The 26,624-nt window shown below is 43.3% G+C and overlaps 1 protein-coding gene and 1 non-coding gene across 4 annotated transcripts in view, besides 1 other annotated feature; both read left to right on the forward strand.

Annotated features, from left to right (window-relative positions):
• Positions 1-26,624, forward strand: part of NFATC3 (nuclear factor of activated T cells 3) — a 143,890-nt gene that overhangs the window by 97,366 nt on the left and 19,900 nt on the right. For all 3 annotated transcript variants that reach the window (NM_004555.4, NM_173163.3, NM_173165.3), the window contains exons 8-9: positions 505-631; positions 8,033-9,040. In NM_004555.4, coding sequence (NP_004546.1) covers positions 505-631; positions 8,033-9,040 — 1,135 coding nt within the window. The remainder of the gene's footprint in view (positions 1-504; positions 632-8,032; positions 9,041-26,624) is intronic.
• Positions 4,920-5,420: an enhancer, noted in NCBI's record as "H3K4me1 hESC enhancer chr16:68221558-68222058 (GRCh37/hg19 assembly coordinates)". NCBI's record gives its function as "activates a minimal SCP1, AML or CMV promoter by ChIP-STARR-seq in primed H9 embryonic stem cells {active_cell/tissue: H9 hESC(primed)}" and the evidence as "EXISTENCE:reporter gene assay evidence [ECO:0000049][PMID:30033119]".
• On the forward strand, positions 6,552-6,686 carry LOC124900379 (small nucleolar RNA SNORA48). The gene has a single exon (XR_007065228.1). It is a non-coding gene; the product is annotated as a small nucleolar RNA SNORA48 (small nucleolar RNA).

A 26,624-nucleotide genomic window follows, 5' to 3' on the forward strand; every position in this document is an offset into this window, starting at 1 on the left:
CTCAAACTCCTGACCTCAAGTGATCCGCCCACCTCAGCCTCCCAAAGTGCTGGGATTACAAGTATGAGCTATCACACCTGGCTCCAGTTTAGAACATTTTGAATATAAAATTTAAAATAAGAAATCTAAACTATAATGCTACTTGGGAACCATTAAACCTAATTAAAAATCAGAATGAATTTACTGTTAAGATACATAGTAACATGTAATATTCAGTAGAGTAAAACATCTCACTACATAGTATGTAAGACTTTTTACTTCTGCTACAACCAGAAACCCAATTGGGTGAGTAAAAAGCAATTTCTCTTTTATTGATTAAAAGACTTACTCTTTCAAGACTGAAGTATCCCTTTAGTAAATCTCCAGATGATGTATATGACTAGCTGATGTGCATAATTATCTATGCTGGAGCCTTGTAGTTAAGACTCATGAGTTGTGATGTGTTTAACAGGTGCATTTCATTTTTAGTTCTGAGTGTAACACAATCTTGCTTTCCATCCTTAGGCTCACATTGTCCTTGAAGTTCCTCCATATCATAACCCAGCAGTTACAGCTGCAGTGCAGGTGCACTTTTATCTTTGCAATGGCAAGAGGAAAAAAAGCCAGTCTCAACGTTTTACTTATACACCAGGTACGAGGAGTCATGATGGTTTACTATAGAGCTTTCTTTCCTAATGAATAAAAAGTTATTTAACGAATCCTATATTACAGTGTTTAAGGTAGAGTGCTTATAAACAATGAAAACACCAACAGATGCCCACTCTAAAGTTTTTGTTGACTTTAAATATTAGATGTGGTCTCAGTTGTTATTTTGTAATGATTTATTATAAGGAAATTAGAAGATGGACGGTAGGTTTAAGGTCTTTTTTCAGAAGGGTTTTAATCAAAAATTCCCAGCATTACAGAGGGGCAGGTGTTCGTGAGTATGTGTGTGGTTCTGGGTCATGAACTCTCCTTGTACCCTTAGCACCATAAAAAGGCAGTGTGGCCAGGCGCAGTGGCTCATGCCTGTAATCCCAGCACTTAGGGAGGCCGAGGCGGGAGGATCACCTGAGGTTGGGAGTTTGAGACCAGCCTGACCAACATGGATGGAAAAACTTCATCTTTACTAAAAATACAGAATTAGCCGGGTGTGGTGGTGCATTCCTGTCGTCCCAGCTACTCAGGAGGCTGAGGCAGGAGAATTGCTTGAACCCAGGAGTGGAGGTTGCGGTGAGCCGAGATCGCACCATTGCACTCCAGCCTGGGAAACGAGCGAAACTCCGTCACAAAAAAAAAAAAAAAAAAAAAGAAATGAGCTTTAACAGAAAGGTAACATGATCAGACTTGTGTTTCAAAATCATTTTCCTCATATTTCTTTTCTTTATAAAGTGTCAAGAACCAGTTTAATCTTTTCTGAAATTAGTGACTCTGAGGAGTGAGATTTACATGAGATAAGTCCAAGAAGGTGATTCAAACACCAAGAGTGTTTTGAATATACAGACAGAACATCAGTGATGATAAAGAATATCAGGTTTTGGGGACAGATGAGAGGGGATAGGATTTAAAATGGGCCTTAGAGGGGAGAAGGAACAGAAGGGAAAGAAGATAAAGAAGATGGATTAAGATGGATGTAGATGAAAAAAGTTTGTAGATTTAGTAATGGAGAGTTTAAGGAGCTTCCATATGATAGCTTTAGGTTTTTTCCGCAAAAAATGGCATGAAGTGTCCTGTTGTGGAGCAGAGGGAAGTTTGGGTGATTTCACAGTTGGACAATCATGGAGAATGTTTGAAATAGTTTCTGTAGGCCGGGCGCTGTGGCTCACACTTTGTAATCCCAGCACTTTGGGAGGTTGAGGTGGGTGGATCACGAGGTCAGGAGATCGAGACCATCCTGGCTAACATGGTGAAACCCCGTCTCTACTAAAAAATACAAAAAATTAGCCGGGCGTGGTGGCGGGCGCCTGTAGTCCCAGCTACTCAGGAGGCTGAGGCAGGAGAATGGCGTGAACCCAGGAGGCAGAGCTTGCAGTGAGCCAAGATCGCGCCACTGCACTCCAGCCTGGGCAACAGAGCGAGACTCTGTCTCAAAAAACAAACAAACAAACAAACAAACAAACAAAAAACACACAAATAGTTTTTGTAAAGAGAGAGAAAGTTCTCTACAGAAACCTAGTAGCATTGTAGACTTGATTGAAGGGCACCATTGATGTTGATCATCAATTTACAGATACTATTATAATTAATTCTATAATTAGGGGTTTATTTATTTATTTTTTTTTTTTGAGAGAGAGTCTTACCCTGTTGCTCAGGCTTGAGTACAGTGGTGTGATCTTGGCTCACTGCAACCTCCGCCTCCAGGGTTCAAGTTCATATGATTTTCCTGCCTCAGCCTCCCAAGTAGCTGGGATTACAGGTACCCTGGCTAATTTTTGTATTTTTAGTGGAGACGGGGTTTCACCACGTTGGCCAGGCTGGTCTCGAACTCCTGACCTCAGGCAATCCGCTTGCCTTGGCCTTCCAAAGCGCTGGGATTGCAGGTGTGAGCCACCGCGCCTGGCCCAGGGGTTTAATTTTCTTTTTCCTCCCTTTTTGTTTTTCATACCCCTTGGTAACAAGTTGACCTGCTGTTAAACTTTCTTAAGTAGCACTCAAATTCTTCAAGGCGGGTGGTAAGGTATGCATCTCCTCCAGAATGGGGTATGTCCTGTCCAAAGAGGTTATCAAATACTGTTGAGATGAGGGATTGTAGACTCTAACCTGAATGAGAAAGAAGAGGGCTTTCCAGATTGCAATAAGGAAAAGCAAAATCAGTCAACAGATTAGGGGGTTTGATTACTTACTACCTTATAATGGTAGTAATTGAAAGGCAAACCAGGGGCCGGGCGCGGTGGCTCACACCTGTGGCCCCGCTACTTTGGGAGGCCGAGGTGGGCGGATCATGAGGTCAGGAGATTGAGACCACGGTGAAACCCCGTCTCTACTAAAAATACAAAAAATCAGCCGGGCATTGTGGCAGGTGCCTGTAGTCCTAGCTACTCGGGAGGCTGAGGCAGGAGAATGGCATGAACCCGGGAGGTGGAGCTTTCAGTGAGCCGAGATCGCACCACCGCACTCCAGCCTGGGCGACAGAGCGAGACTCCGTCTCAAAAAAAAAAAAAAAAAAAAAAGGCAAACCAGGAGAATTTGCCGCCTTTCAGCCCATGAATTGGGAGGACAATAAAAAGGCAGAATCCTAGAGGATATTACATTTGGGAATGGAAATCAGTAGAGCTCTGGAATGGAAAGAAAACATTGGGTTGCACTGTAACTCATCACTGGCCTTATGGTTGATAGATGACAAATCAGGTGACATACACTAACAGAAGAATAGACACACAGGAATGCTTGTGTAGTACTTGTTCTGGTTGGTTACTATCTCTGTAGCATTTAGCTTTTTTCATTTTTTTCTAAAATGACATTTTGAATAAAATTTTTACAAAAGTCAGTACATTACTGTAATTAAAAAAAAAAAAAGACAGGTGGAAAGACTATATTAAAACATTCAAATTCTTGGCCAGGCGCTGTAGCTCACGCCTGTAATCCCAGCACTTTGGGTGGATCACGAGGTCAGGAGATCAAGATCATCCTGGCTAACATGGGGTGAAACCCTGTCTCTACTAAAAATACAAAAAAATGAGCCGGGCGTGGTGTCGTGAGCCTGTAGTCCCAGCTGCTGGGGAGGCTGAGGCAGGAGAATGGCGTGAACCCAGGAGGCGGAGCTTGCAGTGAGCTGAGATCACACCACTGCACTCCAGCCTGGGTGACAGAACAAGACTCCATCTCAAAACAAAAACAAAAACAAAACAACAACAAAAAAAACATTCAAATTCTCTTCTATTCTGAGACTATCATTCTGTTCTTCCAGATTCCTTTGATCCACATATAAACAAAATTTTTAAAAAATGGAAATGGGACTAGCCCATATATAGTTTTGTAACTGAACACTTTAATTTTTCATCATCAACAGAGAATTTTACAGAATTGTAATAACTTCTTAGTATTTTGTTGTATGACCTGATCTCTGTTATGTTAGTGTTATTTTGTTTGTCTCATTAATTTGTATGAATACTTTATTTAGAGATTTTATTTTGTTTATGGCGAATAACTCCTTTTAAAATTTTACTTATACAATTTTTAGATAGTCATATTGTTATGGGATCCTTGAGGTGTCACTTTGCCAGCCGAAAACCCCTGTGGCTAGTGGCACCTTTGCCCACAGCCCTCTGGGGCCACTTGGCCTGGCAAGCTGCATTCGGCTCGTGCAACTGGCCTGGATCCCATGCCTGCAAAGGGTGAGCAGAGTGGGAAGGGGTGTGTGAGTGAGTGAGCGTGGGGTCCAGCCACTGCTCACAGCCAGGCACGCTGGCTATGGAGGGTCTGGCAGCTCTAGGCACCAGCATGGGTGGTGGCGCCCTGTGAGGCTGCAGCTGGACCAGGGATACCGCAGGCAGCTTCCATGGCTGGCACTGGGGAACATGGTGGCTCCTAGAAACTTGAGATGCCAGGAACCTCAGAGCCCCAAAGAGGGTGTCACAGCCCTGGCTCAGAGAGCTCCTAGGTCTGGGCTTCCTGAAGGCCGCAGCTCTTCTCTCCTTGTTGCTGCCAACATAGCGAGCAGGGGGCCTGTTTCAACCCTGTTTGTATTACAACTCTTTCAGCCCCACTGAGTTCTTGTCCTGTGCCCAGGAAGAATGAGGTACACGGACAAATGGAGGGTGAGCGGGATGAAGAGGAGCTTTTTTGAGCAATAGAAGAGCTCAGAGAAGACCCACAGAGGGTAGCTCCTCTCTGCAGCCAGGGTGTCCCAAGTGTTCAGCCCTCAGCAGAGAGGAAACTCTAGAATGGGTAGCTCCTCTCCACAGGCAGGTTGTCCTGTTGTCTTCTCAGCCCTCAGCAGAGAGGAGACCCTGGGGTGGGTAGCTCCTCTCCACAGCTGGTCATCCTGTTTTCTCTTTTTGAGTATGGATGAGTCCAGGTTTTATATGGGCTTCAGAGGAGAGAAAGTGCATGCTGACTGGTCCATGGGGGGGCCATGGGTGGGCCCAGAAAAAGCACCGTAAGTTCGCACTCTGGTCTGTGGGACTGGCAGCCCAGCCCCCAGACTTCAGGCCTTCTCCACCCTGAAGGTGGGGCTTCACTGGCAACCCACCTCTTTCCGCCCAGGAACCTGTCTGCCTCCTGTTGCTGTTCATGGTGCCCAGGTTGTTTCTGTCAAGGGGCGCCTGCAAACCAGGGCTGAGCTGCCCTCAGCCCTACCTCGACCTCCCTCCCATGCTCATCAGTGCCCAAAGTCTGGAGGGGGCTGAGGCGGCAGGGGTCTGGTGTGTCAGCACTGCCCCAAGCATATACACACCCGGCTGGGTTGCAACATCACCCAGACTCAGCCTCAACCTCGCTCCAAGATTGAAATGGGCACCAGGAGCAGGGAGGGGCCAGACACTGGGAGCAAGCATCTCTGAGCTGTTGCGGGAGGGGGGCTTCCTGGGTCTCTCTTCCTAGGCAGAGATGCCTAGGTCAGCAGCCATCGTTTGAGTGGCTGTAGCTGCACCCAGGATGGTGGGGCTTCTTCCTGCTACCGCCCCTCTCCCCCCGCCAAGAGCGCAGGGATGCCCGGGTCAGCAGCTGCAGCTGGGTGGCCACAACTGCACCCAGGAAGTGCAAGGCTCCCGCCCTGCCAATTCAGAAGGTGGCGGGGCTTCCACCTGTTCCCAGCTCCCACCAGCTCTGTGGAGCACGCAGTCTTGGCTGCACCTCGCCCACTGCAGCCAGGGTCATGGCAGTGGCCACTCTAGATGGGCAACCACTGCCATCAATAGTTGCTTGTTTTTTATTAAGGTATTTCTGAATTTATTACCTTTTTGGCAATCCCCTTGCAATAGGGATCCAACCAATATCAATATCCAGTGAAGGGATGATCATTAATTGCAAATGGCTGGTTCTTTTAGGGTTTTTAAATTTTATTTTTGTTTGAGACAGAATTTCACTCTTGTTGCCCAGGCTGGAATGCAATGGTACTATCTCGTTTCACTGCAACCTCTGCCTCCCGGGTTCAAGTGATTCTCCTGCCTCAGCCTCCCAAGTAGCTGGGATTACAGGTGTGCACCACCACGCCTGGCTAATTTTGTGTTTTTAGTAGAGACAGGGTTTCATCATGTTGGCCAGGCTGGTCTCGAATTCCTGACCTCAAGTGATCCTCCCACCTCAGCCTCCCAAAGTGCTGGGATTACAGGTGTGAGCCACTGCGCCCAGCCCCAACTTCATTCTTTTACATGTTGATATCTAGTTTTCTCAGCACCATTTGTTGAAAAGACTGTTCTTTCCCCCATTGAATGGTTTTGGCACCCTTGTTTTTGAAAATTAGTTGACAAATGTGTGAGATTTTATTTCTGGACTCTATTCCATCACATTGATTATGTCTATCCTTATGTTAATATCACACTGTTTTAATTATTGTAGCTTTGTGTAGTAAGTTTTTAAATCAGGAAGTCCTGATTTCCTCCAACTCTGTTCTTTTTCAAGATGATATTGGTTGTCCTTGACTTGGGTAGAGTGATGTCTGGTTGGTGCTGCCTATCTCATATAAGCCAGGGACAAATCAATGCCTTATTTATTCCAGCTTGGCTTTTGGTCTGTGCCCATACCTGGTTTATGCCTTGGACACATGGGAAAAAAGATTGTGTTGGCTATTTGAGATCTCTTGAGATTCCATGTGTATTTTAGAATGAGTTTTTCTATTTCTGCAAAAACTGTCACTGAGACTTTGATAGGGATTACATTGAATCTGAAGATCACTTTATATGACTCAAGGACATTTTTTTTAAAAAAAGATCACTTTGGAGAGTGTTGTCGTCTTAGCAATATTAAGTCTTCAATCCATGAACCTGGAAAGTCTTTCCATTTATTTAGAGCTTCTTTAATTTCTTTCAGCAGTGTTTTGTAGTTTTCAGTTATAAGTCCTGCCTTCCATGGTTAAATCATTTCTGAGTATTTTATTATTTTTTGATGTTATTATAAATGAAATTGTTGGCTATGCACAGTGGCTTATGCCTATAATCCCAGCACTTTGGGAGGTTGAGGTGGGAGGATTGCTTGAGTGTGGAAGTCCGAGACCAGCCTGGGCAACACAGTAAGACTTTGTCTCCACAAAAAATAAACATGAGCATGGTGGCGCACGCCTGTATTCCAGCTACTCAGGAGGCTGAGGTGGGAGGATCCCTTGTTGCAGTACGCCGAGATTGCACGATGGCACTCCAGCCTGGCCGACAGAGTGAGACCCTGTTTCCCAAAAACAAAAAAAAGAAATTGTTTTCTGAATTTTTATTCAGATGTTTATTGCTAGTTTATAGAAATATAACTTACTATTTTTGTATGTTGATTTTGTATCCTGCAACTTTGCAGAATGTATTTGTTAGTTTTTTTGTGGATTTTAGTACTTGTTTTGATCCCCACATGATGGCAGAGGATCAAGTGAGATGCATGTGAGAACCATTGTAAAGCAGAAGTTCTATGAATGTCAGAGTCATGATTTCTGGTATATGATGCAACATGTAAAACCAGATGACTTGGTAGGCTTCGGATCAGGGATCCCCAAGTCAATACTTAATTAGGCCCTAGGGCTTTGTTTTTTGTTTTAGTTACTTAATTTTGAATAGGTAATAAATACACAGTGAAAAACATTCAAAAGACATAAAAAAGTATATAGTAAAAAGTAAACTTCCTAATTCTGTCGCTTAGTCACCTAATTTTCCTTCCCAGCAGTGACTCTAACATAGTTTCTTGTGCCTCTTCCCAAAGATATTCATATTATACAGAAGCAAAACGTGTATGTGTATACATATATATATGTCTACACGTACACACAGACATACACGATATTTTATATGAACTGCCTTCCTTGGCATTTGAGTTTGCCCCTCAGCTTACGCTGTAGTTGTGTAACCTAGCATGAAGGCCTGTCATGATAATTTTATGTATTGTATAATAATATTTGCTTTAATCATTTTCTTTTCAGTTTTGATGAAGCAAGAACACAGAGAAGAGATTGATTTGTCTTCAGTTCCATCTTTGCCTGTGCCTCATCCTGCTCAGACCCAGAGGCCTTCCTCTGATTCAGGGTGTTCACATGACAGTGTACTGTCAGGACAGAGAAGTTTGATTTGCTCCATCCCACAAACATATGCATCCATGGTGACCTCATCCCATCTGCCACAGTTGCAGTGTAGAGATGAGAGTGTTAGTAAAGAACAGCATATGATTCCTTCTCCAATTGTACACCAGCCTTTTCAAGTCACACCAACACCTCCTGTGGGGTCTTCCTATCAGCCTATGCAAACTAATGTTGTGTACAATGGACCAACTTGTCTTCCTATTAATGCTGCCTCTAGTCAAGAATTTGATTCAGTTTTGTTTCAGCAGGATGCAACTCTTTCTGGTTTAGTGAATCTTGGCTGTCAACCACTGTCATCCATACCATTTCATTCTTCAAATTCAGGCTCAACAGGACATCTCTTAGCCCATACACCTCATTCTGTGCATACCCTGCCTCATCTGCAATCAATGGGATATCATTGTTCAAATACAGGACAAAGATCTCTTTCTTCTCCAGTGGCTGACCAGATTACAGGTCAGCCTTCGTCTCAGTTACAACCTATTACATATGGTCCTTCACATTCAGGGTCTGCTACAACAGCTTCCCCAGCAGCTTCTCATCCCTTGGCTAGTTCACCGCTTTCTGGGCCACCATCTCCTCAGCTTCAGCCTATGCCTTACCAATCTCCTAGCTCAGGAACTGCCTCATCACCGTCTCCAGCCACCAGAATGCATTCTGGACAGCACTCAACTCAAGCACAAAGTACGGGCCAGGGGGGTCTTTCTGCACCTTCATCCTTAATATGTCACAGTTTGTGTGATCCAGCGTCATTTCCACCTGATGGGGCAACTGTGAGCATTAAACCTGAACCAGAAGATCGAGAGCCTAACTTTGCAACCATTGGTCTGCAGGACATCACTTTAGATGATGGTAAGTTCATCTCTGATATGTTCTTGAAGTAGTGAAGATTCAGGGACTTTATTCTCCCAAGTGTCATGAAAAAGTTTCTATGGATTGCTTATTGGCATATGGTTGGGCTTTTAAATAAGTTGTTATTAGAAATATATGTTAATATATAACTTTGCCAGGTACCACGGCTCACGCCTGTATCCCAGCACTTTGGAAGGCTGAGGCGGGTGGATCACAAGGTCAGGAGTTCAAGACCAGCCTGGCCAACATGGTGTAACGCTGTCTCTACTAAAAATACAAAAAATTAGCCAGGCATGGTGGTGTGTGACTATAATCCCAGCTACTCGGGAGGCTGAGACAGGAGAATCACTTGAACCCGGGAGGTGGCAGTTGCAGGGAGCTAAGATCGCGCCATTGCACTCCAGCCTGGGCGGCAGAGCAAGACTCCGTCTCGGGAAAAAAAAAAAAAAAAAAAAATATATATATATATATATATATATGTATGTGTATATATATATGTATGTGTATATATATATGTATGTGTGTATATATATATATGTATGTGTATATATATATATAGAGAGAGAGAGAGAGAGAGAGAACTTTGAGGGTAGATATGAAAATCCATGCCTTAGCATCTGTTTTACCACTAATATCTGTTGCTGAATACGAGATCTTTTCTTCCAGAATATATAGTGAGATCACAGTGTCTAGAGAATGGAATTCAAGGCCATTAGTTCCATAAATATTGCTGAATGCTGTCCTTTTGCAAGATGAAGCTAGATGCTGGGAATGCGAAGGATGTATTAAGATAGAATTCTCGGCCAGGCTCAGTGGCTCACACCTATAATCCCAGCACTTTGGAAGGCTGAGGCGGGTAGATCTCTTGAGCCCAGAACTTCAAGACCAGCCTGAGCAACATGGCAGAACCCCATGTCTACAAAACAAAATACAAAAAATTAGCCAGGCATAGTGATGTGGCCCTGTAGTCCTAGCTAGCCAGGAGGCTGAGGTGGGAGGATCACCTGAGCTGGAGAGGTTGAGGCTGCAGTGAGCTGTGATCATGCCATTGCACTCCAGCTTGGGTGACAGAGTGAGACCCTGCCTCAAATTTAAAAAAAAGATCAGCAGAGATATGTAACAGATTTCACAGGAAGGATTCAGCAAGTCTTCTGTGAGTAGGTGACATTTGAGCCAAGTTTTGGAGGATGAGTACAGTTGGCTTTCTGTATGCATGGGTTCCACACCTTGGATTCAACCATCTGTGGATTGAAAATATCTAGGGGGAAGAAAATGGATGGTTGCATCTGTATTGAACGTGTACAAACAGACTTTTTTTTTTCTTGTCTTATTCCCTAAACAATATAATATTACAACTGTTCCCATTAGCATTTACATTGTATTTGGTATTATAAATAATGTAGATATGATTTAAAGGGGGTATGTGGATAGATTATGTGCAAATAGTACACTGTTTTATATAAGGGACTTGCGCATTCATGGATTTTGGTATGGGGGGGTTGTATGGTATGGACATAATCATTTCTCAGTGTACTCAGGGGATTGATTTTAGGACCGCCTGTGTACAACCAAATCATGCATGCTCAAGTTTCACAGTCACCCTGTGGAACCCACATGTAAGAAAAGCAGCTGTGGTCTCAGTGCTTTGGGAGGCCAAGGTAGGAGGATTACTTGAGACTAGGAGTTTGAGACCAGCCTGGGCAACATAATGAGACCTCATTTCTACCAAAAAACCCTACAAAAATTAGCTGGGTGTGGTGGTGTGTGCCTGTAGTCCTAGCTACTAGGAAGACTGAAGTGGGAGGATCGCTTGAGTCCAGGAGTTCTAGGCTGCAGTGAGCTGATCGCATACTATTGCACTCCAGCCTGGGTAGCAGGAAAGTGAGACCCTGTCTCTAAAAAAAATTAAAAAGCCCTCCACATATGCAGATTTCACATTCGAGAATATTCTTTTTTAGATCCATGTTTGGTTGAAAAAAGCTGTGTATAAGTGGACCCAGACAGCTCAAAGCTGTGTTGTTCAAGGGCCACCTGAGTATGTTTTCAGTAAATGAACATCAGAGGCAAGTCAGATAACACAGCAGAAATAGAGAAGAAGGGTATGTTTGTCAGGGAAGGATATGTCTGTGGTGGGGTGAGGTATGGGGTCCGGGGTGGGGGATGGGGGTGATTGGTATGGTACAGGATGGTTTTAAAGCCATGAGGGGACATGCCAGGTCATTTGTGTGTAAACAGAAGGTATATGTGTAAACTAGAGCAACACCTAAAATTGCATAGCATTTTTCTATTTATTATCTAATCTAATCGTTACCATTCCTCAAACTCTGAGGTAGATAGTGACATTTATAGAGTTGGACTTTTGAAAAATCACACAACTAGTAAGCAGCAGAACTGAGACTGGTTCAATCCAGTCTTTTTCTTGTGGCACTACAGCTGCCTCTCAGAAACAGCAGGCCATGGTGGTTAGAACAGAACTCTCTACTAAACGGAATCCCTCAAGGTTTTTCTAATTCCTGGAGAATATTCTCCAGAAATGCATGTGCACAATTTCACTGCGTTAACCCATGTTCACAACTGCATCTGATCTGTTACACTGTTTGGTGTACTTGAGCACTCTGGTATTTAAGCATTTTGCTGCTGTTCTCTGTGCACAGCTGGCATAAGTGTCACTCCCTACTAAATGATGAAACCAAAAGGTAGAGAGCAGGCTGCTACTTTTATGCAAAACAGATTTGAAATAAAGGCTTACGCAAATATTGGCTTTAAAAATGTTGCCTGTTTCTTTTAGCAGTTTTAGACTAACTCTTCACATTGCTTTTTACCCTGAAACAAGGACTGAGACCTTGAGTCACTCATTTGTGATATAACTGAAGATAGGAGATTTATTGAGACTTTAAGAGCACTTCAGCTCATTTTTTTTAACCAATGAAGATATTTTTTCCTTCTAAAAAGAGCCCAAAGCTAGAACCTGCTCTTTCTAATTTACCACAGGTTGAGAGATTTGGGGGTAGAGGGTCGGATAGGCAACAAATCAGATCTCTAGAAAGATTTTGGGAAAATGTATTTCATTATTTGAATATATTAAGATTTGTTGCAAAAACAGAAGATCTGGAAAGGTGAGGTCTGTGAGGGCAACTGTAAAAGCAATTTTATTTTTGCTCCCTTTATTATAGTAGGGCATACAAGCAAGAAAGGAGCCAGGTGCCGTGGCTCATGCCTATAAACTCAGCACTTTGGGAGGCTGAGGTGGGTGGATCACCTAAGGTCAGGAGTTGGAGACCAGTCTGGTCAACATGGTGAAACCCTGTCTCTACTACAAATACAAAAAAAAAAAGCCAGCGTGGTGGTGGGTGCCTGTAATCCCAGCTACTTGGGAGGCTGAGACAAGAGAATTGCTTGAACCTAGGAGGCGGAGGTTGCAGTGAGCTGAGATCGCGCCATTGTACTCCAGCTTGGGCGACAAGAACGATACTCTGTCTCAAAAAAGAAGCAAGAAAGAATGTTCCTAGATTGTAGCCCCCCAGAGACTAGCTATCACATTTGCTCATTGCCACCCCTCAGGGGACTTAATAGAAGCTCAGTGCTGCCAAGCAGTAATTACAGAGGGGGAAGAGCAGTACACAATGGTGTGCACCTGTAGTCCTGGCCACTTGGGAATGTGAGATGGAAGGATCACCTGGACTCAGGAGTTCGAGTCCAGTCTTGCCAATATAGTGAGACCCTGTCTCTAAAATTGAAAAAAAAATGGACAGGCTGGGCGCAGTGGCTCATGCCTGTAATCCCAGCACTTTGGGAGGCTGAGGTGGGCGGATCACGAGGTCAGGAGATAGAGATCATCCTGGCTAACACGGTGAAACCCCGTCTCTACTAAAAGTACAAAAAACTAGCCGGGCGTGGTGGTGGTCGCCTGTAGTCCCAGCTACTTGGGAGGCTGAGGCAGGAGAATGGCGTGAACCCAAGAGGCGGAGCTTGCAGTGAGCCGAGATTGGGCCACTACACTCCAGCCTGGGCAACAGTGCAAGACTCCGTCTCAAAAAATAAAATAAAATAAATAAAAGGACAGAAAAAACTGAAACGCACTCTTTTTATTTTTTTGTGATGGTAGTCTCACCCTGTCATCCGGTCTGAAGTGCAGTAGTGCAATCTTGGCTCACTGCAGCCTCGATTTCCTTGGCTAAAGGGATCAATCCTCCCACTTCAGCCTCCTGAGTAGCTGGGACTACAGGCATGTGCCACCACACCTGACCAATTTTTGTTAAAACGCACTTCTGAAAACCTTAGATTATTGGCTGTATAATTTTTGCAAATTGAATTTTTGATGCTTAATTTAAGCTCCAAAATGAATTTATTTTTATTTTTATTTATTGATATGGAGTCTCTATCACCCAGGCTGGAGTGCAGTGGCGCAATCACAGCTCACTGCAACCTCTACCTACCAGGTTCAAGAGGTTCTCCTTCCTCAGCCCCCCGAGTAGCTGGGACTACAGGCGTGTACCACCACGCCCAGCTAATTTTTGTATTTTTTAGTAGAGACGGGGTTTCGCCATGTTGGCCAGGCTGGTCTCGAACTCCTGACCTCAGGTGATCTGCCTGCCTCAGCCTCCCAAAGTGCTGGGATTACAGGCATGAGCCACCATGCCCAGCCTAAAATGAATTTTTGATATTTTTAATTTGACTCATTTATTATGATATTTGGATTTGCCTTTGAAGGTAGAATTTTTAGATGCCTAGAAAAAAAAGTTCTGCAAACTTTTAATGTAAATTCAAATTAGCTGGGCGTGGTGGTGGGAGCTTGTAATCCCAGCTATTCTGGAGGCTGAGGCAGGGAGAATTGCTTGAACCCGGGAGGTGGAGGTTGCAGTGAGCTGAGATCGCACCACTGCGCTCCAGCCTGGGTGACAGAGTGAGAGACTCCATCTCAAAAAAGAAAAAAAAACAACTTTTAATGTAAATCCATAAAATGAAAATTAAAATGGCTGGGCGCAGTGGCTCACTCCTGTATCTCAGCACTTTGGGAGGCCGAGGTGGGCAGATCACCTGAGGTCAGGAGTTCTCCACCAGCCTGACCAACATGGAGAAACCCCGTCTCTACCAAAAATACAAAATTAGCCTGGTGTGGTGGCGCATCCCTGTAATCCCAGCTACTTGGGAGGCTGAGGCAGGAGAGTCGCTTGAACCTGGGAGGCTGAGGTTGCGGTGAGCCGAGATTGCGCCATTGCAATCCAGCCTGGGCAACAAGAGTGAAAGTCCATCTCAAGAAAATAAATAAATAAATAAATAAATAAAAACCCATAGACCTTGAACTCCATAGCACTGGAATATCTCGTTTTTAATTTTTTTTTATTTTTTGTAGAGATGAAATCTTGCTAAACTGCCCAGGCTGGTCTAGAACTCATGGCCTCAAGCAATTCTCCCACCTTGGCCTCTCAAAGTTCTGGGAGCCATCATATCTGGCCAAATGTCCCCTTTCTGGTTAGCTTTATTATATTTTATTTTATTTTACTTTATTTCATTTTATTATTCTTGAAGATGGCATCTCACTCTGTCACCCAGGCTGGAGTGCAGTGCTGTGAACACAGCTCACTGCATCCTCAACTTCCTGGGCTGAAGCATTCCTCCTGCTTCAGCCTGCTGAGTAACTGGGACCACAGGCACATGCCATCATGCCCTGCTAATAGTTAACTTTAAAAGTCATAGAGCCAGGCGTGGTGGTGTGTGCCTGTAATCCCAGTTACTGAGGAAGGCTAAGGCAGGAAGATCACTTGAGCCTAGTTTGAGGCTAGCGTGGACAACATAGCAAGACCCTGTCTCTGAGTATTTTAAGTGAGTCATAGAACATACCAGAAAGGATTGAAAGTGACTAAAATGAACTTTGTAGTTAGCCGAAGCTCAATTTGTTTTAACTTTTTCATATTATGTTAACTGTTAAGTCCAAAGTAATTTCCACTCTACAACCACAGGACACGGTAATTTAAAAAAATTTTTGCTATACTACTTAAAGATACTTATCCTAATAACTTTTGTTAATTCTGTTTTATATTCAAATTTATATATCCTCTTTTAACCAAATCAAAGATCAAAACACATTTTCTTTAATTTTTGAAGTTTTTAAGTAACATGGAATCTCTTAGGCATCATTCATGTATTAGTTGACTGTTACTTTTAGAAATGTGGACATTAACATCAATTTTTTATTATAAATTCAATGACATTTACTGGAGAAGATAGTAATGTAACTCAGCTCAGAATTTCGGGAGTTATAGACTGAGCATGGTGGCTCACGCTTGTAGTCCCACCACTTTGGGAGGCCCAGGCAGGCAGATCACTTGAGCCCAGGAGTTTGAGAATAGCCTGGACAACATGGCAAAACCCTGTCTGGAAAAATTACAAAAGTTACCTGGGCAGGGTAGCACGTGCCTGTAATACCAGCTACTTGGGAGGCTGAAGTGGGAAGATTGCTTGAGCCCAGGAGGTCGAGGCTTCAGTGAGTGGTGATCATGCTACTACACTCCAGCCCAGGTGACAGAATGAGACCCTTGTCTCAAAAATAAAGTAGTTATAGAGCTGGAAAATATTCTAATATAGCTCTCATTTTATGGATAAAACATCTGAATTTTACACAGAGCCTAAGGTGTTCATCCAGGATAAGACACTTGAATTATGGCAGAATAAAGACTAAAACCTGTTTTCTGACTCTAGGAGTTTTTCTAGAATCTGTAATCAAGTTTCTAGTCAGTGTGTTGAGGTTTTAGAACTGGTGTCAAACAAAGAATACATGAAAGAAAATGCCATTTTCTCCATAGAGCCTTGATTGTGAGAGGAACCAGGGTAATCTTAAGATTATAGATTCTGGCCAGGTGCAGTGGTTCATGCCTTGTAATCCCAGCACTTCGTGAGGCCAAGATGGGAGGATCGCTTGAGCCCAGGAGTTCTAGACCAGCCTGGGCAATATACCCTGTCTCTACCAAAAATTTAAAAATTAGCTGAGCATAGCTGGGCGTGTTGGCTCACGCCTGTAATCCCAGCACTATGGGAGGCCAAGGCGGGCAGATCATGAGGTCAGGAGGTCGAGACCATCCTGGCCAACATGGTGAAACCCCGTCTCTACTAAAATACAAAAAAACTAGCCAGACATGGTGGTGCGTGCCTGTAGTCCCAGCTACTCAGGAGTCTGAGGCAGGGGAATCGCTTGAACCCAGGAGGCGGGGATTGCAGTGAGCCAAGATCACGCTGCTGCACTCCAGCCTGGCAACAGAGCGAGACTCCATCTCAAAAAGAAAAAGAAAAAAAATTAGCTGATCATGGTGATGTGTGCCTATAGTCCCAACTACTCAGGAGGCTGAAGTGGGAGGATTGCTTGAACCCAGGAGGCGGAGGTTACAGTGAGCTGAGATTGCGCCACTGCACTGCAGCGTGGGCAACAGACCAAGACCCTGTTTATTTTTTTTTTATTTTTTATTTTTTTTGAGACAGAGTCTCGCTCTGTCGCCCAGGCTGGAGTGCAGTGGCGCGATCTTGGCTCACTGCAAGCTCCGCCTCCCGGGTTCACGCCATTCTCCTGCCTCAGCCTCCTGAGTAGCTGGGACTACAGGCGCCCGCCACCACGCCCGGCTAATTTTTTGTATTTTTTAGTAGAGGCGGGGTTTCACTGTGTTAGCCAGGATGGTCTCGATCTCCTGACCTCATGATCCGCCCACCTCTGCCTCCCAAAGTGCTGGGATTACAGGCGTGAGCCACCGCGCCCGGCCCCAAGACCCTGTTTAAAAAAAAAAAAAAAAGTATTATTCTCAGTATTAGATGAAGTGTTTTTTGGTTTGTTTTGTTTGTTTTTGAGACGGAGTCTCACTCTGTCGCCCAGGCTGGAGTGCAGTGGCGATCTCAGCTCACTGCAAGCTCTGCCTCCCGGGTTCATGCCATTCTCCTGCCTCAGCCTCCTGAGTAGCTGGAACTACAGGCACCCGCCACCATGCCCGGCTAATTTTTTGTATTTTTAGTAGAGACAGGGTCTCACCGTGTTAGCCAGGATGGTCTTGATCTCCTGACCTTGTGATCCGCCTGCCTCAGCCTCCCAAAGTGCTGGGATTACAGGTGTGAGCCACTGCGCCCGGCCTAGATGAAGTTTTAAAGGCTCTCCATTCTCTTTCTCGCTGGAGTTCACACTTTGGTATTCTTAATGATAATTATATTCGTCTGTGTCTCTTCCCTAGCTTCTTTGGAACATCTCAGGGCCTTTTGAGTTCTAACTACTCTTCTTGTTTTATGTGGGCTCTATCTAATACCTCTAGATTAATTCAGAACATATTTAATCCTTCTTGTATAATAGCCTTCACATGTGTGAAAGCTTGATCTCTTTCCCAGTCTTAAAAACTCTCCAGCAACTTCATCCTTCCCTCACCAAAATGCAAATTTCCTTCTGCTTGAACCGTGATGTTTAAGTTCCCTTTCATAGTGGAGTATCCAGAAGGGAACACATTGTAGCTAGCTTGTTGTGGGTTAAGACTGTCACTTTCCCTGTTGAAAAGACTTTATCAGTATGGCCTGAGGTCAGGGGATTTTCTTAGCTGTGATATACTGTTGATTTAGTGAGTCATAATTATGCAAAGTTGTGTCCTTTCCCTACATAGGTTTATATATATATATATATGGGGTTTTTTTGGACCAAAGACTAAACTTTATAATTATCCTTGTTCAGTTTCATTGAGATGATTTCGGTGCCTCATACCAATTTTCCAAGCTCAGAAGAATCCCAGAAGCATTTCTCAGTCTCAGGCTTCCTGGGGCAAGGCAGATATTCCTTTGGGGGTTACAACAGCAGCACAGTACTGACGTTTCACCAAGTTCTCTTTCAAGTAGTCCCCCTGGAAGGCTGTAATATAAACTTACTCAAACAATTAAGGCATAGTTCATGACTATTTTGCTTCTTGTCTTTATATTTTCTTCACTACCTCCATATATCATTGCACCTCCTTGAAAAGCATGTTCTGTGGCTGTCCAATTATCACTGAATTTTACTCATATTTACAATTCGTATGCCTGGAAATGTAATTTTCCGTAAACATTTATGTTCGTTATGGTTTTTATGCCGCAGGTTTTGGACCAGACAGTAAACATTAAAACAGTTGATTTTATAACAGATATGGAAACTGTCAAGCTGTTTTTCATTTGTTTATTTTTTGAGATGGAGTTTCCCTTGTCACCCAGGCTGGAGTGCAGTGGCACAATATCAGCTCATTGCAACCTCTGCCTACTGGGTTCAAACGATTCTCATGCCTCAGCCTCCCGAGTAGCTGGGATTACAGGTGCCCACTGCCGTGCCCAGCTAATTTTTGTATTTTTAGTAGAGACAGGGTTTAGTCATGTTGGCCAGGCTGGTATTGAACTCCTGACCTCAAGCGATCTGCCTGCCTCAGCCTCCTAAAGTGCTGGGATTACAGGCATGAGCCACTGCACTTGGCCTTTTTAAAATTTATTTTGAGACAGGGTCTCACTCTGTTGCACAGGCTGGAGTGCAGTGGCGTGATCATGGCTTACTGCAGCCTTGACCTCCTGGGACTCAGGTGATCCTTCCACTTTAGCCCCCCAAGTAGCAGGGACTACAGGCACACACCACAGTGCCTAGCTGATTTTTGGGGGGTTTTTTGTTTGTTTTTGTTTTTTTTATTGTTTTTTGTTTTTGGTAGAGATGGAGTTTCGCCATGTTGCCCAGGCTGGTCTCAAACTCCTGGGCTCAAGTGATCTGCCCTCCTTGGCCTCCCAAAGTGCTGGTATTACAGGCGTGAGCCACTGTGCCCGTTTGTCAAGCTGTTTTAAACATTTTAATTAAGATTTGATTCAGTGTGGTAATTGATACTGTTTTTTTGTTTGTTTCTTTTAAAAAAAAGAAAGATTATAGCGGCCAGACACAGTGGCTCATGCCTGTAATCCCAGCACTTTGGGAGGCTTAGGTGGGTGGATCACCTGAGGTCAGGAGTTCGAGTCCAGCCTGGCCAACATGGCAAAACCCCATCTCTACCAAAAAGGAAAAAAAGAAAAATCAGCTGGGCACGATGGTGCATGCCTGTAGTCCCAGCTACTTGGGAGGCTGGCATAGGAGAATCACTTGAATCCGGGAGGTGGAGGTTGCAGTGAGCTGAGATGGCACCACTGCACTCCAGCCTGGGCAACAGAGTGAGACTCCATCTCAAAAAAAAAAAAAAAAAAAAAAAAAAAGATTATAGTATTGTGAAACTAGACTATCTTAGACCTTTAAATACAGGCCCATTTAATTTATGATTGAGTTAACCGAATCCTGTTACAACTTTCCATTAAAGTCCCTCAGTTCCCACTTGTCCTCCTTGTTCACAGACTAACAGAGCCACAGCTGCAGCTCTTCAGCAGAGAAGAGGATGCATGTTAAATATAGCCTGACCTGATGCTGTGCTGAAAACTGACACTGCCACTTGCAGGCTCTGTGCAGTAACATGCTGATCCTGAATGTAGGGCATTTGGTAATTCAGCAGTAGTAAACAGGGACTCTAGTCATGACCTCAGCTGCTTCAGTTCTGTATGTAAAAGACAAGCAGAAGAGCCTGCTTTCAAAAAGCAGGTGCTTTTTAAAATCAAGGGAATGATAAACACAACATTCAGGTGGTTACTTGGATGTGGGAAGCAGGAGACTGGTATGGAGGAGGAACAGAGAGGTTAGTATTGTCAGTGTTCTCTTGCACCTGTTGGTTAGTGGTTTCACTGGTGTCTATTTTATTAAAATAAAACAAGGCAAGGCGCGGTGGCTGACGCCTGTAATCCCAGCACTTTGGGAGGCCGAGGCAGGTAGATCGCCTGAGGTCAAGAGTTTGAGACCAGCCTGGCCAATATAGTGAAACCCCGTCTCTACTAAAAATACAAAAATTAGCTGGGCGTGGTGGTGGACACCTATAATCCCAGCTACTCGGGAGGCTGAGGCAGGAGAATCGCTTGAACCTAGGAGGCGGAGGTTGCAGTGAGCCGAGATCGTGCCATTGCACTCCAGCCTGGGCAACAGGAGCAAAACTCCATCTCAAAATAAATAAATAAATAATAAAAAAAAATAAATAAATAAAATTAAATAAAAGCCATACACAGCCAGTGGTGAGAATGTGTCATCTATGAGGTATAATCACTATGGGCACTGGAGTGGAGGGAGGTAGATAATGCTGAAATTTCTCTTTTAACTTGGACACTGGATAACTCACGAATCCTCTTTTGGGAAGCATACATGTACTATACAGCCTCAAACGTGTTTAGGATGAATGATTCCAGAAGCTGAAAGGTCTTGTAAATAATGCCTATGTAGGCTTTAAATCATGGCTTATGCGAGATGGACCATGATGGGGATTCAAGACCTTAGACACAACCACCCTGGGACATACAATAAGAAAAATTGAGTTTTAGGCCTAATGAAGAAAGAACAACAAACATTTGAGAAGATTTTTTATTTTTTATATCGAATGCGTCTGTGTATTTCCATGGACATAAATAAGTTGTACCTTTTTTTAAATGAATGTATTATTTCTGAACAAAAAATTTATTTTAATCAACCTACATTAAGATTTATACATGACCAGGTGCTGTGGCTCGTGTGTAATCCCAGCACTTTGGGAGGCCAGAGCCGGTGGATCGCTTGAGCTCGGGAGTTTGAGACCAGCTTGGGCAACATGGTGAAACCCTGTCTCTATAAAAAATACCAGAATTAGGCCGGGTGTGGTGGCGTGTGCCTATAGTCCCAGCTACTCGAGAGGCTGAGGTGGGAGGATCGCTGGAGCCTGGAAGGCAGAGGTTGAAATTAGCAGAGATCATGCCACTGCACTTCAACTTGGGCGACAGAGTGAGACCCTGTCTCAAAATAAATAAAATGCAATTAAAAATATAATTTATACATAAGCTAGGAAAAGTCCAAGAGAGGCTACCACTAAAGCAGCATATCAGAAGTCTTCAAACTAAGTTCCCCTCAAAATGTGTATTTAAAAATAGTTAATGGCTGGGCGCGGTGGCTCGTGCCTGTAATCCCAGCACTTTGAAAGACCGAGATGGGAGGATCATTTGACATCAGGAGTTCAAGACCAGCTTAACCAACATGGTGAAACTTCGTCTCTACTAAAAACAGTAAAAATTGGGCCAGGCACAGTGGCTCATGATTGCAATCCCAGCACTTTGGGAGGTCGAGGCAGGCGGATCACTGGAGGCCAGGAGTTTGACACCAGGCTAGCCAACATGGTGAAACCCCGTCTCTACTGAAAATACAAAAATAAGCCGGGTGTGGTGGCACACATCTGTAATCTCAGCTACTTGGGAGGCTAAGGCAGGAGAATCGTTTGAACCTGGGAGGCAGAGGTTGCAGTGAGCTGAGATGGTGCCACTGCACTCCAGCCTGGGCGACAGAGCAAGACTCCATCTCCAAAAAAAAAAGAAAATAGTGAAAATTAGCCACGCATGGTGGTGAACGCCTGTAATTTCAGCTACTCATGAGGCTGAGGCAGGAGAATCACTTGAACCTGGGAGACAGAGGTTGCAGTGAGCTGAGATCAGGCCACTGCACTCCAGCCTGGGCAGCAGAGTGATACTCTGTCTCAAAAATACAAAAAATGGTAATGAATTATGGTTACTGTTTCTTGATAAACTCATATTTTTTTTGAACACTGTGCTAGGCACTTTGCTAGTGGCTCATTAATTCTTTGCAATCATGTGTGAAATGTGAATTATTAGTCTTAATTTTGTATAGATGTGGCTCAGAGACCTTAAGCACATCCCAGCGTTATATGGCCACAAATAATTGGGGCAGACATTTGAATCCAGATTTGTCTGAAATGTAGATTTTCTCACATGTGTTTTTAGTGGCTTCTAAAATAGCTATAATTGATTACTTATATAATCTCGCTTTCGTAAAGACAATAGCATTGTAACTTTCTAATGTGCTGCCATGTGTAAGATAGCAAAACCTGTCTTAAAGATGTATTCTATTTTAAAATTGATATCCTTTTTTTGAGTTCCTTCGAAGACAGATTATTCACAGGAACAAAAAGATTTTTTAATGAGAGATAAATTGTTTAATTTTAGGTTCAGCAGTTGAACAAGCTTTTTGTGGTTTGGTGGCAGTTTTCTGCCTTGGCATTACAAGGTTACCTCTTGCTAACAATCATAGCTTTTGATAGACTTAGATAAATGTGTTCAAACAGCTTTTCTCTGTTTGAAGATGCCTGGCTCTTTTTTTTTTTTTTTTTTAAAGACATTTCCAAAGCCTACAGTTAGTGTCTCCATCTGGGCAAGAGACAACATGTGAAAGTCTCATTTATGCTGGAAGATAGGGTAGGGTTGAGAGTGATGGTTACAAGCATTTTAACTTTACATCTACAAGAGTGTGGTACAGATTAAGTCCTTGATAATCATGTTGTATATTTAAAAACATCTATAGATGATTTTATGTAGAATGGGAATTTTAACATTTTAAATGTGTTTATTTCTTTGGTGGGGGAACGGAGACAGGAGTTTGCTCTGTTGATCAGGCTGGAGTGCAGTGGGACCATCATGGCTCACTGCAGCCTCGACCTCCCAGGCTCCAGCATTTCTCTCCCACCTCAGCCTCCCGAGTAGCTGGGGCTACAGGTGCCTGCCACCACATCCGGCTAATTTTTAAATTTTTTTGTAGAGGCAGGCTTTTACTACGTTGCTCAGGTTGGTCTCGGCCTCCCAAAGTGCTAGGATTACAGGCGTGAGCCACCATGCCTGGCCTGTGTTTCTTAATATAATCATTTTTTGAACAAGTAATATGTTCATGTGGTTTAAAATGCTAAAGTTACAACATTATACATAGTTAAAAAAAATCTGTCTTCTAAGTAGATACTCCATTGTCCTCTGTAGGGAGAATTGGAGTTACTAGTTTCTTGGCTGTCATTCTATGCATTTATAAACAGTTGCATTTTTTTCCCCTTATTTTTACTAGCATATTATGTATACTAGTTTATACTTTGCATTTCCCATGTAATATAGAATCTTGAGAGATTATTCTATACTGTAACATAAAAGAGCTTCCTTGAAAAGATATTCTTAAAATAGAATATTCCATAAAATATTCTATAAAATACTGCTTTGAATATTTGCACCACTATCTTTTTTTCTTTTTTTTTTTGAGATGGATTCTCGCTCTACTGCCCAGGCTGGAGTACAGTGGCACCATCTCGGCTCACTGCAACCCCCACCTCCCAAATCTATGATCTCTTTCATATTTGCTTACTTTTCTATTAGATTGTTGATCCTTCCTCTTACTGATTTATAGAAGCCCTTTGTTAGGTGCATTAGCTCATTGAGGTATGAGTTGAATGTATCCAGATTTATAAATTTTAAAAGAGGGATTTACAAAAGTCCTCTAAGTCTTGCTTTAAGTTAATGGTTAGAGCTGTGAAAACCTAATTAAGTCATTTCACACAATGTTCTCCCATGAGAAAATCCAAAGTTTGTTTAAAATTCAAAATTTACCATTTTAATCATTTTAAGTGTATAGCTAAGTGGCATTAAATACATTCACAATATTGTATAACCACCACCACTTTCTATTTCCAGAAGTTTTTCATCACCCAAACTACAACTCTATTAAAGTAATAACTACTCATTTCCTTCCCGTCCTCCCAGCCCCTGGTAACCTGTACTCTGCTTTCTGTCTCTATGAATTTCCCTACTCTAGATACTTCATATAAGTGGGATTACACAATGTTTTTCCTTTTTTGTCTGGCTTATTTCACTTAGCATAATGTTTTCAAGGCTCATCCATATTGTAAGCATACGGAGGAATAATCTATTGGAATATTTTTATATAGCATATTATTTACATATAATATTCCATATGGAGGAATAATATTCAATTTTTTGTGTACACCACATCTTGTTTATCCATTCATCTGGTGAAAAATAATTTGGGCCTAGGCACAGTAGCTCACGTCTCTAATCCCAGCACATTGGGAAGCTGAGGTGGGTGGATTGCCTGAGCCCAGAAGATCAGGACCAGCCTGGGCAACATGGCGAGACCCCATGTCTATAAAAAATTTAAAAATTAGTTGGGCGTGGTGGTGTGCGCCTGTAGTTCTAGCTACTCAGGAGGCTGAGATGAGAGGATCACCTGAGCTTAGGAGATGGAGGTTGCAGTGAGCTGAGATTGCACCATGCACTCCAACCCGGGCAACAGAGACCCTGTCTCAAAAAAAGTTGATGAACGCATACATATTAAAAAAAAAAAAAAAAAAAGATGGACAGGGCTCGGTGGCTCACGCCTGTAATCCCAGCACCTGGGAGGCTGAGGCAGGTGGATCACCTCAGGTCAGGAGTTCGAGACCAGCCTGACCAACACGGTGAAACCCCATCTCTACTAAAAATACAAAAATTAGTTGGGCATGGTGGTGGGCGCCTGTAATCTCAGCTACTCGGAAGACTGAGACAGGAGAATCGCTTGAGCCTGGGAGGCAAAGGTTGCAGTGAGCCGAGACCATGCCATTGCACTCCAGCCTAGGCAACAAGAGCAAAACTCCATCTCAAAAAAAAAAAAAAGATAATTTGTATTGTTTCCCTCTCGGCTGTTGGGAATAATGCTGCTGTGAACACTGGCATACATACTGTTTGAGTCCCTCTTTTCAGTACTTTTGTGTGTTTACGTAAGAGTGGAATTGCTGGGTCCTATGGTAATTCTGTGTTCAACTTTCTTTTTGAGATGGAGTCCCACTCTGTCACCCAGGCTGGAGTGCAGTGGTGCGATCTGGGCTCACTGAAGTCTCTGCCTCCTGGGTTGAAGCGATTCTCATGCCTCAGCCTCCTGAGTAGCTGGGATTACAGGCATGTGCCATCACGCCCAGCTAATTTTTGTATTTTTAGTAAAAACGGGGTTTCACCATGTTGGCCACACTGATCTGTCTTCTGACCTCAGGTCACCCACCCTCCTCAGCCTCCCAAAGTGCTGGGATTGCAGGCGTGAGCCACCAAGCCCAGCCTCCATGTTCAACTTTTTGAGGAACCACTATTTTTTTTAATCCTACAGCAGCCACACCATTTTACATTTACAATGTATAAGGCTTTCAGTTTCTTTATACCCTTGCCAACACATGTTATTTTCCATTTTTAAAATAATAGCCATCCTACTGGGTATTAAGTTATATTCATTATAATTTTGATTTGCATTTCCCTATTGACTAATGGTGTTGAGCATCTTTTCATGTGCCTGTTGTCCATTTGTATATTTTCTTGTCTATCCAAATCCTTTATTTTATTTATTTATTTATTTTTGAGACGGAATCTGGCTGTGTCACCCAAGCTGGAGTGTAGTGGCATGACCTTGGCTCACTGCAGCCTCCACCTCCCAAGTTCAAGCGATTCTCCTGCCTCAGCCTCCTGAGTAGCTGGGTTTACAGGCTCACACCACCACGCCTGGCTAATTTTTTGTATTTTTATTAGAGATGGGGTTTCTCCATATTAGTCAGGCTGGTCTCAAACTCCTGACCTCAGGTGAGCCACCCGCCTTAGCCTCCCAAAGTGCAGGGTTATAGGCATGAGCCACCATGCCCGGTCTAGTTTTCAATGTAGAAATCTTATGCCTCTTTGGTTAATTCCTAAGTATTTTATTCTTTTTGATGCCACTGTAAATAGAATTGTTTTTCTTAAGATTGGGCACAGCGGCTCACACTTGTAATCCCAGCACTTTGGGAGGCTGAGGCAGGCTGATCACCTGAGTTCAGGAGTTCAAGACCAACCTGGCTAACGTGGGCCCACCTGGCCAACATGGGGAAACTCTGTCTCTACTAAAAATACAAAAATTAGCTGGGTGTGGTGGCATATGCCTGTAATCCCAGCTATTTGTGGGACTGAGGCAGGAGAATCGCTTGAACCTGGGAGACAGAAGTTGGAGTGAACCAAGATTATGCCACTGCACTCCAGCCTGAGACTCCGTCTCAAAAACAAACCAAAAAAAAAAACCCCAAAACAAGAATTGTTTTCTTAATTTTTTTTGGACCTTTCATTCCAAGTATATAGAAGTACAACTGAATATTGTGTGTTGATTCTATATTCTGCCACTTTGGTGACTTTATTTGTTAGTGCTAACATTTTTTTGTCTGTGTGGATTCTTTAGAGTTTTATGTTTATACTATCATGCCATTCGTGAATAGAGATAATTTTCTCTCTTCCTTTTTAATTTGGATGGGCTTTATGTATTTATTTATTTTTCTAACCTAATTGCTCTGGCTAGAACTTCTAGTGGTAGGCTAGTAGAAGTGGTGAAAGAGTGGGCATCTTTGCTTTGTTTGTGATCTTAGGGGGAAAGCTTTTGTTCTTTGTTGATAATGATAGGAACTAACAGTTTTTCATATATGGCCTTTTTCATATTGAGGAAATTCCTTCTATTCTTTGTTTATTGAATGTTTTCATCTTGAAAGAGCATTGAATTTTGATAAATGAGTTGGGCACGGTGGCTCACGCCTGTGATACCAGCACTTTGGGAGGCTGAGGCGGGCAGATAGCTAGAACCCAGGAGGTGGAGGCTGCAGTGAGCCGTGATTGGGATGCTACTGCACTCCAGCCTGGGCAACAGAGTGAG

The sequence above is a fragment of the Homo sapiens genome, chromosome 16 (genome assembly GCF_000001405.40).
Source record: "Homo sapiens chromosome 16, GRCh38.p14 Primary Assembly".
Taxonomy (NCBI): Eukaryota; Metazoa; Chordata; class Mammalia; order Primates; family Hominidae; genus Homo; species Homo sapiens.